Source organism: Homo sapiens, chromosome 12 (genome assembly GCF_000001405.40).
Source record: "Homo sapiens chromosome 12, GRCh38.p14 Primary Assembly".
NCBI lineage: Eukaryota > Metazoa > Chordata > Mammalia > Primates > Hominidae > Homo > Homo sapiens.
In genome coordinates, this window is record NC_000012.12 from 51,073,536 (window position 1) to 51,089,318 (window position 15,783).

At 46.1% G+C, this 15,783-nt stretch overlaps 1 protein-coding gene across 14 annotated transcripts in view, besides 2 other annotated features; it reads right to left on the bottom strand.

The window, feature by feature from the left end:
• The window catches only part of CSRNP2 (cysteine and serine rich nuclear protein 2), a 22,392-nt gene extending 12,331 nt beyond the window's left edge, over positions 1-10,061 (bottom strand). Inside the window, exons 1-5 of one of the 14 annotated variants that reach the window (XM_047429621.1) lie at positions 9,804-10,061; positions 8,986-9,159; positions 7,893-7,926; positions 2,876-3,112; positions 288-547 (exon numbers count right to left, since the gene is read on the bottom strand). In XM_047429621.1, coding sequence (XP_047285577.1) covers positions 288-547; positions 2,876-3,026 — 411 coding nt within the window. In that variant the 5' untranslated portion in view covers positions 3,027-3,112; positions 7,893-7,926; positions 8,986-9,159; positions 9,804-10,061. Of the gene's footprint in view, positions 1-287; positions 548-2,875; positions 3,113-3,338; positions 6,565-7,892; positions 7,962-8,985 lie in introns of those variants that run through there. The other 13 variants (XM_024449215.2, XM_047429619.1, XM_047429618.1 and 10 more) reach the window with 13 other exon arrangements.
• Positions 9,623-10,112: a silencer, noted in NCBI's record as "silent region_4458". NCBI's record gives its function as "represses an Ori minimal core promoter by ATAC-STARR-seq in GM12878 lymphoblastoid cells {active_cell/tissue: GM12878}" and the evidence as "EXISTENCE:reporter gene assay evidence [ECO:0000049][PMID:35858748]".
• Positions 10,486-11,112: an enhancer, noted in NCBI's record as "H3K4me1 hESC enhancer chr12:51477804-51478430 (GRCh37/hg19 assembly coordinates)". NCBI's record gives its function as "activates a minimal SCP1, AML or CMV promoter by ChIP-STARR-seq in naive H9 embryonic stem cells {active_cell/tissue: H9 hESC(naive)}" and the evidence as "EXISTENCE:reporter gene assay evidence [ECO:0000049][PMID:30033119]".

Here is a 15,783-nt window from a genome sequence, read left to right on the forward strand (position 1 = left end):
AGCCTGGGCAACATGGCAAAACCCTGTCTCTACTAAAAATACAAAAACAAGACGGATGCACACCTGTAATCCCAACTACTCGGGAGGCTGAGGCACAAGAAATCGCTTGAACCTGGGGAGGCCGAGGTTGCAGTGAGCTAATATCATGCCAGTGCACTCCAGCCCGGGCGACAGAGCAAGACTCTGTCCCAGAAAAAAAAAAAAAAAAAAAATCAATCAACCAACCAACCAATGAACCTAAATGGTTTCCTACATGGACAGCAGTAGATCCCAGAACACTTAGGCACCTTCATTTTCTTGGCATGGAGTTTCTCTTCCTTCAGGTGCTCACGCAGAATCTCTCGATGGTTCACCTCCTGTTCCTGGGCAAACTCACAGAGTGTATAGCTCCGTACAGAGTTATGGCGCTGGGCCATGCCCAGAGAGCTACCACCCTGGCTGGGCACACTGGTAAAACCTTGGCGCCGGGCAAAGTAGTATACAGTCACCTGGTCAAAGCGTACATTCTTCCTCCGCAGCTGCTTCTGCCGCTTCAGGATGGATGTGGCTGAGAAGGGAGCACAGAGAGATGTTTTATTTATTTTTCTATTTATTTATTTAGAGATGGAGTCTCGCTCTGTTGCCCAGGCTGGAGTGCTGTGGCACTGTCTCGGCTCACTGCAGCCTCCACCTCCCGGGTTCAAGCAATTCTCCTGCCTCAGCCTCCTGAGAAGCTGGGATTACAGGCGTGTGTCACCACGCCCAGCTAATTTTTGTATTTTAGTAGAGATGGGGTTTCGCCATGTTGACTAGGCTGGTCTTGAACTCCTGACCTCAGGTGATCCGCCCGCCCCGGCCTCCCAAAGTGCTGGGATTACAGGTGTGAGCCACCATGCCTGGCCGAGAGATGCTTTATTAACTCAGGGATGACCTGTTTGGGGAGCTTGCTCTTTCTCATCCATCTAGGCTCTCAACTCTTCTTCTCTAAACGTGCTCTCTATATCTAGAGAACTGTCTAATATCTTCAAATCCTAAATGCTCTGTCAGAAGGGACCTTGAACTTCAGCTGGTTCATACAACTGCCTCCAGACTGACTATACCTAAACAGATGACCACAAAATCCATTTTTAGACATCAGCTGGGAAGAGGATCTCTAGTTAATCTTTTCTGGATATAAGAATCTACAGCTTTACTGTCCAATACAGCAGCTACTAGCCATGTGTGGCAATTTAAGCTAATTAAAATTAAATAAAATTTAAAATTCAGCTCAGGCCGGGCATGGTGGCTCATGCCTGTAATCCCAGCACTTTGGGAAGCCGAGGCAGGCAGATCATGAGGTCAAGAGATCAAGACCATCCTGGCCTACAGGATGAAACCCCATCTCTACTAAAAATACAAAAATTAGCTGGGCATGGTGGCACATGCCTGTAGTCCCAGCTACTCAGGAAGCTGAGGCAGGAGAATCACTTGAACCTGGGAGACGGAGGTTGCAGTGAGCCGAGATTGTGCCACTGCACTTCAGCCTGACGACAGAGCAAGACTCCATCTCAAAAACAAACAAACAAAAATTCAGCTCAATTATACTAACCATATTTCTTTATTTTCTTTTTTCCTTTGAGACAGGCTCTTGCTCTGTCACCCAGGCTAGAGTGCATGGCACAATCACGGCTCACTGCAGCCCCAACCTCCCAGGCCCAAGTAATCCTCCCACCTCAGCCTCCAGAGTAGCTGGGACTACAGTTGCACACCACCACACCCAGCTAATTTTTGTATTTTTTGTAGAGACGAGGTTTCGCCATGTTGCCCAGGCTGGTCTTGAACTCCTGAGTTCAAGTGATCCACCCATATCAGCCTCCCAAAGTGCTGAGATTACAGGCGTGAGCCACTGCGCCCAGCCACTAACCACATTTCAAGTGCTCAATAGCCACATATGGCAACTGGCTACTGTTGGACAATGCAGATACAGAACATTTCTATCATAACAGAAAATTCCATTGGATAGCATTGATCTGTAGCAGGGGACAGCAAACTGTCAAGAGCCAGACAGTAACTATTTTAGGCTCTACAGGCCATGAGGTCTCTGTTGCAATAATTCAACTCTGCCACTGTAGCATGAAAGCAATCATACACAATGGGTATAACTGTGTTCCAACAAAACAGGCATTGGGCCAGATTTGGCCCATGGGCAACCCCTCATATATAGTATCAGTTCTTTCCAAGAACTAATAGAGCCGTAAGAATTAAGAAAGCTTGGCCGGGCACAGTGGCTCACGCCTGTAATCCCTGCACTTTGGGAGGCCGAGGCGGGTGGGTCACCTGTGGTCAGGAGTTCAAGACCAACCTGGCCAACATGATGAAACCTTGTCTCTACTAAAAACACAAAAAATTAGGCGGGCGTGGTGGCAGGTGCCTATAATCCCAGCTACTGGGGAGGCCTGAAGCAGGAGAATCACTTGAACCCGGCAGGCAGAGGTTGCAGTGAGCTGAGATCTCGCCACTGCACTCCAGCCTGGGCAACAAGAGCAAAACGAGAAAAAAAAAGAATTAAGAAATCTGGATTTGCCCCAGTTGTCCAAGCAGCAAGCATTTATATCCTGCTACAGCTACAATTTCCTGGAACTCTCTGGGACTCTGGTGGGGGCAGGGTAGAGTCCTAGACTCCTTTTTCAATCTAATTTAACCCATTCTGGGAACCAGCAACCCACAAGACAAGTAAAATCAGCTAGAATAAATCAGACTTTAGTCTACGGTATGAGAGAAATGAGGTCCTCCAAAGAGCAAGGAAAGATGATGATTAAGGGCAAATCCCCAAGCCACACAGACGCTGTCTCGAGCTGCCATGGGTTCTGCTGCTTGGGGAATGTGGGTATAGGCAGGGACGGAGCAGCTTACTCACGTGTGAAGCTGGCAGTGGTAGGAGGATTGAGGCTGTCGCAGCTGTCAGCACTATCACTGCTGGAGATCTCATCATCTGAGTTGGAAACTGATGAGCCCACATCCACATCATCAAACTTCCTCTTGAGACCCGAGCCCGTGAATGCATCCATTGGTTTCAAAGGGGTTTCCTTGGGGAGCCCACCAAGTTGGCCCCAAAGCCCCTACTCACCACCAGCTAGCCAGGTACATTAGGATTCTGCCCAGGGAAAAAAAGGAATCAGCATTCCTGTCCCCAGACAGACTCCTCCCCAGTCTATACACACAGCTCTCTAAAGAAAGCACCTCACCTAGCACTGATGTCTGCTTTCTCAATATTACGTTCTTTCTCTACTAGCTCTGGCCAACATTCTCCTACTTTCGTTTCCCTTCAGCCCCTCTATTCTCAATCACTCTTAGAATAATGAGATGGGTAGCAGCAGCACCTTTCCCAGTGAAGGAAAGGCCTTTGCTTCCAATCCAGCTGGGGTCTAGGCTTCATTAGCCCAGGAATCACAGTAGCTGCTCTTCTGATCATATAGAAAAGCTCTCCAAGGCACCAGTGAGAAGAACTTGAAATCAAAAACACAATTATCACTGCTGCTTGTTTGGTTGGCAAAAAAAAAAAAAAAAGGAAAAAAAGAAAAGCAGAATTAGGCTTTGCCTAAACCAAGACTAGACCCAACTATTTATCTGTTTTAGAAACAGGGTCTCACTATGTTGCCCAGGCTGGTCTTGAACACCTGGGCTCGAGCAATCCTCCTGCCTCAGCCTCCAGAGTAGCTGGGACTACAAGGCACACACCACTGAACCCGGCTAGACCCACTTATTTTTCCTAGTGATAATACAGCCCGGCATTTCCCAAAGTGCGTGTCTTATGGTATTAATAGCTTTTACATAGAAATACGACTGCTGTGTCAAAAGGGTTTTAAAAATTGCCTATAGTGGAACTTCTTAGAGGCTTTTAATATACTAATAAGGATGGTGAAGGCTGAGAGAACACAGAATGCAGTGTTTCTACAAACGTGATTAAGGAACCCACTGTTTCCAAGGTATTTTAGAGTGCAAATAATGCTTGGAATACACTTTGGGAAATACTGCTCCAGGCACTCAATTTTGAAGGACATTAGCAGTCAGGAAAACCCTTTACCCAGATCTTCATAAGTGTAAAGTGTTTCACCAGGCTTCTATAAAGGTCAAATTTGGTACCAAAGAATGGACCCAAGATTAGAATCTGCATGGCTTCAAAACCCAGAATCTTTCCCAATCTCATACTGCTCCATAAAATAGGGCTCATCTGGTCTGTCACCATCCTCTGTGCAAGGACATTGTAGCTTTACAATCTTTGCCCTCTATAAAGAAATCAGCAAGGGGAAAACAAATAGCAAGAGAAGTAACTATTTATTCTGGTTATATCAATATGGCATGCAGTGTTGTTTTCAACACACTTTCATACAACCAAGGAGTCTGAGATAGTCCATTTCCCTAGGTACAAATCTTTTTCCTCCATCTTTGGATTTAAGTTCCAGAAGGACACGAATCTGCTCAGCAGAAATGCTGTCAAAGCGGGAGCCATGTGTGATGAGACACGAACCCTCCCTTGCCTCAGTAATGCCAGAATCTCCCCAGACTATGATCTCACTAGTTGCTAATTATGCAGCAGGAATAACAACACTGCCCAGAACGACAGGGCTGCATTACTGCAGAGCAGCTACCCAGAATATACTGTGGTGTCAAGAGATGCCTGCTACAGAGCTGCTTTTCTGGACTGTGTCTGTTGGAAGCAATTTGCCTGCTCTTGGATCAGCTCTACAAAGTCAACCAGACGTAATAAGTACCTTAGAGAAGGTATTTCCTAATCTATCCAGATTGCATCAAATTCTGCATTCAAGTCACAAGATGTACCTAAGAAACCTCAGCCATCAGAAGTCTCAGACAAGCACATTCCTGAAATAAATTTGCCAGGGAAGAAAAAAAAAAATCAAGTATTTGATAAAAACTGTAATTAAATTAAAAAACGAGCCCAAAGTATCAGTTTAGTTCTTCATGTTACTGATCTTATCAGAGGTCACATTCTTAGGGCATGGTAAGAAAGGAGCGAGCCAAGGGCTTTTTATGGGTTAAGATTTTAGCTGGGTTTAAAGATACCGATCAACAAGAAGACATTTATGCATCCAACAGACACATGAAAAAATGCTCATCATCACTGGCCATCAGAGATACGCAAATCAAAACCACAATGAGATACCATCTCACACCAGTTAGAATGGCGATCATTAAGAAGTCAGGAAACAACAGGTGCTGGAGAGGATGTGCAGAAATAGGAACACTTTTACACTGTTGGTGGGACTGAAAACTAGTTCAACCATTGTGGAAGACAGTGTGGCGATTCCTCAAGGATCTAGAACTAGAAATACCATTTGACCCAGCCATCCCATTACTGGGTATATACCCAAAGGATTATAAATCATGCTGCTATAAAGACACATGCACACGTTATGTTTATTGAGGCACTATTCACAATAGCAAAGACTTGGAACCAACCCAAATGTCCATCAATGATAGACTGGATTAAGAAAATGTGGCACATATACACCATGGAATACTATGCAGCCATAAAAAAGGATGAGTTCATGTCCTTTGTATGGACATGGATGAAGCTGGAAACCATCATTCTGAACAAACTATCTCAAGGACAGAAAACCAAACACCGCACGTTCTCACTCATAGGTGGGAATTGAACAATGAGAACACATGGACACAGGATGGGGAACATCACACACCGGGGCCTGTCGTGGGGTGGGGGAAGCGGGGAGGGATTATACCTAATGTAAATGACAAGTTAACGGGTGCAGCACACCAACATGACACATGTATACATATGTAACAAACCTGCATGTTGTGCACATATACCCTAGAACTTAAAGTATTAAAAAAAAAAAAAGATACCGATCGACAAACAAATTTCTCATTCCATTCTATTGTAGCGGGGAGGGGGAGCCCCTTGTGATTGAATGCTTATGTGGGTGGAATTTTTTAAGGAGACAGAATAAAGCTGGGCACAGTGGCTCATGTCTGTCATCCCAGCACTTTGGGAGGCCGAGGCGGGCAGATCACCTGAGGCTGGAGTTCGAGACCAGCCTGACCAACATGGAGAAACCCCATCTCCACTAAAAATCCAAAAAAAAAAAAAAAATTAGCCAGGCGTGGTGGCACATGCCTGTAATCCAGCTACTCAGGAGGCTGTGGCAGGAGAATCGCTTGAACCCGGGAGGTGGAGGTTGTGGTGAGCCAAGATCGTGCCATTGCACTCTAGCCTGGGCAACAGAGGGAGACCTTGTCAAAAAAAAAAAAAAAAAAAAAAAAGCTGGGTGTGGTGGCTCACGCCTCTAATCTCAGCACTTTGGGAGGCCAAGGCGGGTGGATCACAAGGTCAAGAGATCGAGACCATCCTGGCCAATATGGTGAAACCCCGTCTCTACCAAAAATACAATGATTAGCCAGGTGTGGTGGCGAGTGCCTGTAATCTCAGCTACTCAGGAGGCTGAGGCAGGAGAATCGCTTGAACCCAGGAGGCGGAAGTTGCAGTGAGCTGGGATCACGCCATTGCACTCCAGCCTGGGCGGCAGAGTAAGACTCTGTCTCAAAAAAAAAAAAAAAAAAAAAAAAAAAGAGGGAGGGAGGGAAGAGAAGAAGGCAAGCAGGCAGGCAGGCAGGCAGGCAGGCAGGCAGGCAGGCAGGCAGGCAGGCGGTCTTTTTCCTTAGCCTGGAAACACTCAAGGATTTATGACTGGAAGTAACTGTCCACTCCTGTTCTTTCCTCAGGTGTCCCCAGGCTTCTGGTAGTATCTCCGGTGAATATTTCTCTTTAAGCCCCATATGAACTTGGGTCTGATCCAAAATCATCTTTATTACTACAATTCTCCACGGTCTTAACCCAGCTGCCCGCAGGAGTATCAGTTATCTTTAGGTTACTTTTTGTGAACTTGGATGCAGCAAGGATTGCTGGCTGCTTGTTCTATTCTCCTCTTTTTCTGTGTTTTCTCTACTTCTGGAATAGTGGTTTCTGGGCAATGATAGGAGATAGGTAAGAAAGAAGGAAAAAGATGTGACACCTAGGAGAAAAGTATTTTCCTTAAGCTGTCTGAGAATAACTGGAACCTATGGCTATGTGTGTAAATAACATGTATACTGACTTATGGTCAAACTCTTCCATTCACATGGATGGCACTCAGGGAAATCCTCAAGGACTCCTCTCTTCACCCTACCCAGGCTCTGTTAGCAGCATTTTCTCTGACATTAGCTCCACCATTTTTTTAAAAAGAAAAAAGATTATGTCCCAACAACAATGTAAGATTAAATTTCAACCCAGCTCCCCTTGTCCAACTCTCTGATATGAACTCGACTTTTAGATGAAGATGTTCACTGGGCACCAAGAACAAACCTCCTGTTCACTTCCATGGTGCCCTGAAGAAATCCTTCTTTGGGAGGCTGAGGCAGGAGAATTGCTTGAGGCCAGGAGTGCAAAACCAACTTGGCCAACATAGCAAGACCCTGTCTCTGTATTTTCAAAAAATTGGCCCGGCATGGTGGCACATGCCTGTAATCCTAGCACTTTGGGAGGCCAAGGCGGGCAGATCACTTGAGGCCAGGAGTTCAAGACCAGCCTGGCCAACATGGCAAAACCCCACCTCTATTAAAAATACAAAAACTAGCTGGGCATGGTGGTGTGAGCCTGTCGTCTCAGCTACTTGGGAGGCTAAGGCGGGAGGATTGCTTGAACCCAGGAGGCAGAGGTTGCAGTGAGCTGAGATTGTGCCACTGCACTCCAGCCTGGGTGACAGAGCCAGACCTGCCTAAAAAAATAAAATAAAATAAATAAAAATAAATTTTTTAAAAAAATAAATCTTTCTTTGCAATAGTAACAGAATAGTTTCCATACTTTCCAATTCATCAAATTAATCTTTCAAACTACAACTAGAAAAATCAGTCATTCCTACCTCTCTCAATTATTCATTGGTAGAGGATCAATGCCTGTGTTCAAGAGATACACTTGTAAGTTTTAGCACCTAGGAATGCAGGTAAAAACCGACAGTTAACTGTCAAAATGACCAACTCAACAAATGCTTTTGGAGAAAATAATGCAACTCTCTTTAAAGCTTTTAAATGCCAGTGAAATGAAAGGTCAGCTGACACTTTCTGGCTACATGTCTAATGGTCTTTTCTCAAGAGTTTCTAGCTGAACATTTTCCAAAGTTATATGAAATAGTTAAGATCCAGAGCACAGAATACATCAGGCTAGCACCTAATAAACAGTTCCACCAGAATATGTATATTTTAGTACTAGATCTAAGTTTTTTTCAGGCCTAAAAGGATTCCTATAACCACCAAAACAAACAAACAAACAAACAACAACAACAACAAAAAAAAACAGCATATGTGAGAGCAGCAAGAGGGACTGCCCAGGCAAAATTTTCTGGAAGAATCTATTTGCAAAGTTTAGGTAATATAAGTCTCTTTCTTAAATGAGTCCAAAGTAATAAGCTACATCTCACAGGAGAAAGCCTCTTCACTTGACTGGAACCCAACCTTCTGCTAAAGGTCAAGGAATCAAAACCTCCAGTAAGATGGTCAGGGCTACCATCTGTAGCTGGGTTGGAAGGAAGGCTTGCTGCTGTGTTACCATAAACCTGAATAAAATGACCTGCCCTGTTTCTCCTTTTACAAGATACTGTGGTTGTTTCTCATATACCATGAATTTCATGGATCCATGTGTCTTTGTGATCACCAGGATCATGAACTTACAAAGCACCCAAGTGAAAACCCCCCGCTTAAGTTAGGTGTTTAAAGAAAGCCGTGCACTCACCACCCCCACTCCCCGATTTTTACCCATTCACTAACACAAGGTTAGAATTTTCCATGCCTAAACTACCATCGTGTGGAAGACAGATCTTTGTGGGAACTGGAACATGATGCTGCATTAACTCTCAAGGATATCCAGTCATTTATAACACCGGCACAACCAACATCCTGGCTTTGTGGATTTGCAAGACAGAAAGCCAGTGAAGAAAAAAATCTGAACTATGAATTTACCTTGAACTGAAAACTGCAGGACAAGGGGACAGTGTTGTCTTGTGGGGATAACTTCTAGCATTTCATTCTGAAGAACAGTTTGTGTGTCACACTGCCACTCTCAACCCCTTTAAAAGGATGAATCAAGACCACAGCACTAAAAGGGACGGGTGGCAGTTGGCTGCGTAATTGGGCCTATGAAAAAAGATCAAGCTAGCAACCAGGGCAATTGATGCTTTCATTTTCCCACACGACGCCAGAAATATGGGAGACATCAGGAACCGGAGCGAAGGGACATGTCAAGTCACCAGTTCCTTTTAATGAACACTCCTGCCGAACCCTTCAGCTCTCGGCCCACTTCCCTCTGATTCCTGCTAACCTTCCCGCTCATTCCAATCCTCTGCAGCCCCTACCCAGCCTTCCGCATCCCTTCCTGCCTGCTACTCACAAATTCCCAACCACTCCTCCCACATTTTCCTCTGTTCCCCCTCCCCTTCCTTCACTTTCCTCCATCCTACATCATTCTCCACTCCATTCCGAACTCAATCCTCATCTGCAATCCTGCAGGCTTCCAAGCCGCCCATCGGTCTCCCGCGAGCTGCCCCCGCAGTCCGGGCCAGCGTCCTCGGTGCCCCTCGCTCCCACGCCTCTTCCCGACTCGGTTCCTTCCCAACGGCACCCGACCTCCCCGCCCCCCGACCGCTCCCGTCCGAGCCTCTCATTTCTGACCCCTCCATCCGCACGGCTCTGGGCTTGACCACTCCTCCACGGCCGCCCGAGGGCCGATCCCGAGAAAGGACGAGGCGGCACCCTCCGCCCCGCACCCCTAGGCCCATTACCGGCCCCGCCGCAGCTGCCTCCTCCCGTGATGGTCTCTGCCGCCCCCGCTGCCGCCGCCGCCCTAGCCCGGTGGGAAGGAGGGAGGAGCGAGCGAGTCCCGGGCCCCGCGGCGACGGCCGGGGAGCTCCCAGGGCGGCAGGGCGGGGAGGGAGGGCGGTGGGCAGCCCAGCCGGCAGGCAGAGAGGGCCGGGCGTCTCCGGCAACTCGGGCGCCCCCGGCAGCAGACGCCCAGAACCGCCCCGGCTCCGGCTAACAATAGGATCCGGCCGCAGCGCACTGGCTCTTATAGGCGCCGGCACGTCCTGACCGAGACCCGGGGCTGGCTGGGAAATGGAGTCTACGGGCCGGCCCACACCCAGCAGCATGCCGGGAGTTGTAGGCGGTAACTGCTGCAAAGCCGAAGCCGGCGCGCAAACCGGCTCCCGAGGCGGCAGCTCTGCTGCAACCTTTTAATGGGGGAAGAGAGGAGACTCAGCTACAGATCTTAAATAAACGAATTCTCCTCCAAAGCTCCCTTTTTCTTTCGTGTCCTGACCACACGCCATTAGGAACATGATCCCCCCTTCTCCTCGCTCATGGGGTCTTAGTCTTCAGCAATATGACTTATTGCAGCCTGCGCAGGTTATAAAGAATACAAGCAATATCTTGAGTTATCTACTTATATGAGGGAGTGCTTTGAGTGTTTTCTTTAAAAAAAAAAAAATTGCTGCCGGGCGCGGTGGCTCACGCCTGTAATCCCAGCACTTTGGGAGGCCGAGGTGGGCGGATCACGAGGTCAGGAGATCGAGACCAACCTGGCTAACAAGGTGAAACCCCGTCTCTACTAAAAAATACAAAAATTAGCCGGGCGTGGTGGCGGGCGCCTGTAGTCCCAGCTACTCGGGAGGCTGAGGCAGGAGAATGGCGTGAACCCGGGAGGCGGAGCTTGCAGTGAGCCGAGATCGCGCCACTGCACTGCAGACTGGGCGAAAGAGCGAGACTCCGTCTCAAAAAAAAAAAAAAAAAAATCTTCTCAACTTTGCAAACTAATTTATTTATTTAAATAGAAAAGGGGTTTTCGCCATGTTGCCCCGGCTGGTCTTGCACTCCTGGGCCCAGGCGATCCGCCCGCCTCGGCCTCCCAAAGTGCTGGGATTATACGCATGAGCCACCGCGCCCTTCCGCAACCTATTTTTAAGAAAGGGCGCCAGGCGCGGTGGCTCATGCCTGTAATCCCAGCACTTTGGGAGGCCGAGGCGGGCGGGTCATGAGGTCAGGAGTTCGAGACCAGCCTGACCAACATGGTGAAACCCTGTCTCTACTAAAAATACAAAAATTAGCCGAGGGTGGTAGCACGTGCCTTTAATCCCAGCTCCTCGGGAGGCCGACCCAGGAGAATGGCTTGAACCCGGGAGGCGGAGGTTGCAGTGAGCCAAGACTGCACCATTGCCCTCCAGCACGGTCAACAAGAGCGAAACTCCGTCTCAAAAAAAAAAAGAAAAAGAAAAAGAAAAAAAAGGGGAAAACCAAGATTAAGAAGTCAAAAGTTGTATGTGATTTGCCAAGGACACATAGCCTTGGTTTCTTCTTTGTTGTCTTTCCCTTGAACTATAAGGCTCGGCAAGCTCGAGCTGCATTCTCTTGTCCCCCGACCCCCACCCCGCCCCCTCATTTTGTTCTGTCATCTTGTTTGCTTCTACTTTCCCCCTTCCATACTCTGCTTGAATACACTGGCCTCATTGCAGCTCCTTCAACTGGGCAATCATTCTCTTACCTCAGGGCCTTTTGTCTGGCTTCCACCAGCTAGCCACATACTTACTCCCTCACATAATATCTGCTCGAATGTCCCCATATCCGAGATCTTCCCTAACCATATTTCTTTTTCCCTGCATTAAGAGACAGGATTTCACTCTGTCACCCAGGCTGGAGTGCAGTGGCGCAATCACGGCTCACAGCAGCCTCAAACTCCCGGGCACAAATGCCTAACCATATTTCTAAAATGGTGCTTCTCCTTAGTTTCTATCCCTGTGCCTTATATTTCTTCTTAGCATCCACGTATTTGTTTTTGTCTTGTCTCACTTGACTAAATTCGGTGAGAGCAAGGAATTGTTTTGTTTACTGTATCCTCAACACACAGTACAAAGCCTAGTAGTTGACATTTAAGAGTATGATAGATATTTATTGGATAGATGGATGGACAGCAGGATTTAAACTCACGTTAGGCTGGTTCCAAAACCTGGTACATTTTTCACTGCAACCAAGAAACTATGAAGCCAGATCCACTAGCTACCAAGCCATCTCAGCTTTAGAAGTGAGAGGCTGGATGGCTTGGGAAAACATGCTAAGAATTTCAGTTCTCTCCCCTAGGTGACATCAGAGACTCCAAGAAGCTAGGACACTACACTGCAAAATAAAAAAGCAGTAGATCAGAAAAAAGCAATCTTTTGGTAACATGCACTTGTCATCTCTCTTTGCTGAAATTCAGAGGCAATATAATGAGTGATCAAGAGCATGGATCCTGGAGTGATCGAGAGCATTGATCCTGGAGCCAGACTGCCTGAATATAAACCCCACTTCCTCTACTTACTAGTGGCATGACCCCGGGCAAGGGACATAAGTTTTCTGCCTTAGCTTCCTCATTTGCAAGCCAGGAATAACGATGTCTATCTCATTGGGTTTTGTGAAGATTAAACAGCTGATATATTGGAAAATGTTTACAACAGTCAGTGCTGTGTAAATGTTAGCTATTTTTAATCATAAGCTTTCTATTCAGTTGTGTAGAAGGTTTGGTTCATGATCCCATTCTTCCTGTGCATACAGAAGACAAAAGGGAAGAGAAAACTATCCTAGACCACTCTATAGAATCAGTAGGCTGAGTAACAAAAAACCAGCCTGATGCCCATGTTGAGGATGCTAAAAAAGTGTCTCATATGCCTACACATCCAGTGTTCCAGCAGTCATGGAAATTCATCAGGGTACCATCAGCCCCAGTGCCCAATGCATTAACCTCAATTGGTTAATGCCACCAAACTAGAAGATAGCCAAACCAATGTTAGTACATCCTTTGAGAAGACGGCAGAATTCAATTTGGCAATAAGCTCTTGATCAGTCAGAAGATCATCTGGGCCAGGCATGGTGGCTCACACCTGTAATCCCAGCACTTTAGGAGGCTGAGGAGGGAAGATTGCTCGAGCCCAGGAGTTTGAGACCAGCCTGGGCAACATGGAGGGAGACTCTGTCTCACAAGAAATTTTTAAAAATTAGCCAGGTGCAGTGGCATGCACCTGTGATCCCAGTTACTTGGGAGGCTGAGGTGGGAGAATCACTTGAGCACAGGAGGTCAAGCTGCAGTGACAGCTGTGTTCATGCCACTGCACTCCAGCCTGAGTGACAGAACAAGACCCTCTCTTTTTTAATTAAAAAAAATAATAAAATAGAGATGGGGGTTCTCCCTGTGTTGCCCAGGCTGGTCACGAACTCCTGTGCTCAAGCAATCCACCAGCCTCAGCCTCCCCAAGTGCTGGGATTACAGGCCTGAGCCACCACACCCGGCAGAGACTCTGTCTCTAAAAATAAAAATAATAGGCTGGGTGCGGTGGCTCAGGCCTGTAATCCCAGCACTTGGGGAGGCCAAGGTGGGTGGATCACTTGATGCCAGGAGTTCAAGACCAGTCCAGCCAACATGGCGAAACCCCATCTCTACTAAAAATAGCTGGGAATGATGGCACGAGCCTGTACTCCCAGCTACTTGGAAGGTTGAGGCATGAGAATCGCTTGAACCCAGGAAGGCGGAGGTTGCAGTGAGCCGAGATTGCGCAACTGAACTCCAGCCTGGACAACAGAACGAGACTCTGTCTAAAACAAAAAACAACAACAACGAAAAAAATCATGACCCGAGCAGTGTTTTCTTTTCTTTCTTCCTTTTTTTTTCTTTTCTAATAGAGAGAGGGGTCTCACGTTCCCCAGGCTGGCCTTGGACTCCTGGGTTCAAACAATCCTCCTGCCTTTGCCTCCCAAAGTGCAAGGATTACAGGCATGAGCCACCACGCCTGGCCCTGGGAAGTGTTTTATACTTTGGTCTTGCAGCTATGACTGTGTGTGAAGGTGATCTTATAGTCAGTAGTATCCTTAGATTATTGAGCTAATGAACAGGTGTATAGTATTCAGTATAAACTGTTTTACACTCATAATCCCTTTAAAACTCTCAAATAACTCTATGAATTAAGTATTACCTCCTTTTTAATACTTAATTCATAGGGTTAAGATGATAAAATTGAGGCTTGAAAGATTACTCTGTCCAAAGTCATATCCAGGAAGAGAAGGATCTGGGATTTGAATGCAGGCCTATCTGACACCAAAATATATACTGTATCAACTACCTCTTACCACCAAAAGATAAACGAGAACACATTCCCCAGAGAGGTGAAAATAAATAGGACAGAGGATATAATATGTTGAAATTCTTAGAGAAAAAGAGTTAAAATAAAAATCTAAGGCATTGTGTTTGTTTTTCTGAAAAGGTATCTGTAGACTTAGCCCTAAAGTTGTTATGCTACTTCACTAATTGACATTTAATTATATTATATTCCAGATCTAGAGAGACAGGCACCTCTTTGTGACTAATTCCACACTAACAAAAAGAGAACAGTATGTGTAAATCTGAGAAAAAGAGTGCCACAGCAAACTGAAAGCACAAACACCAAAGAAGTCATATGCGCCATTGCACTCCAGCCTGGGCGACAAAAGTGAAACTCTGTCCTCCCACCACACAAAAAAAGGAAAAGAAAACAAGAATCTACATTAATTAAAATGTGCACCTCATCTTAAACATATCTAATACATGAAAACAGAGATTCGCATAATAGGTAAACCAGTTATAACTCATGTCCCAAAATACCATATCAGTAAAAAATAGTACAATAAGACAACAAATAATACAATAATATTAGTTTAAATAGCAAGTTCCCTTATAATTGATATTAATCCAATTGAAAACTTTAATTCATATAAACTTTTCAGTGTCTGAATTTGAAAATGCAAATGCTAGACTTACTTGAAATTTTTGGCCAGGCGCGGTGGTTCATGCCTGTAATCCCAGCACTTTGGGAGGCGCAGGTGGGTGGATCACAAGGTCAAGAGTTCGAGACCAGCCTGGCCAATATGGTGAAACCCTGTCTCTACTAAAAATACAAAAATCAGCCGGGCATGGTGGCAGGCGCCTGTAATCTCAGCTACTTGGGAGTCTGAGGCAGGAGAATCACTTGAACTCGGGAGGCAGAGCTTGCAGTGAGCCGAGATAGTGCCACTGCACTCCAGTCTGAGTGACAAAGCAAGACCCCACCTCAAGAAAAATAAATAAATAAATAAATTTTCAAGCAAGATAGATTTTAGCTTAGGCCTATGTTCACAAGGAACACTACAGGGGAAATGCTGTAGAGAATGTGTGAACAAAGACGTGAAAAGAAGAAGGAAGAAGTGGAAATAGATGAAAATTCAAGGTTGAAGATAAAATACAAGGTCACTAAAAGAACCAGGAAGGAGAAATAAAGTATGCAGAAAAAACAGTGCTGGTGGCATTACTCCCATGTCACAAAGGGCATCTTTCCCAACTCACTCCATTTTGCAGTGGTAGGATATTCTTCCTCATTTAAGTTTTGGAGTTGGTATAATGAAACAAAAATTAATCACAAACTAAAAGCAAGCATTCTAGCAGGGAAAGCCTTAACTCACAACTAAGAAAGTAGAGCATTTGCAGGAGAAGCAGAATGATGTAGGATTACTCCTAATGACATAATATATAGGCTGGGTGTGGTGGCTCACGCCTATAATCCCAGCACTTTGGAAGGCTAAGGTGGGAGGCTCGCTTGAAGCCAGGAGTTCAGATCAGCAAGGACCACATGGCAAGATCCTGTCTCTACGAAAAATAAAAATTAGAGCTGGGCACAGTGGCACATACCTGTAATCCCAGCACTTTGGATGGCTGAGGTGGGAGAATCGCTT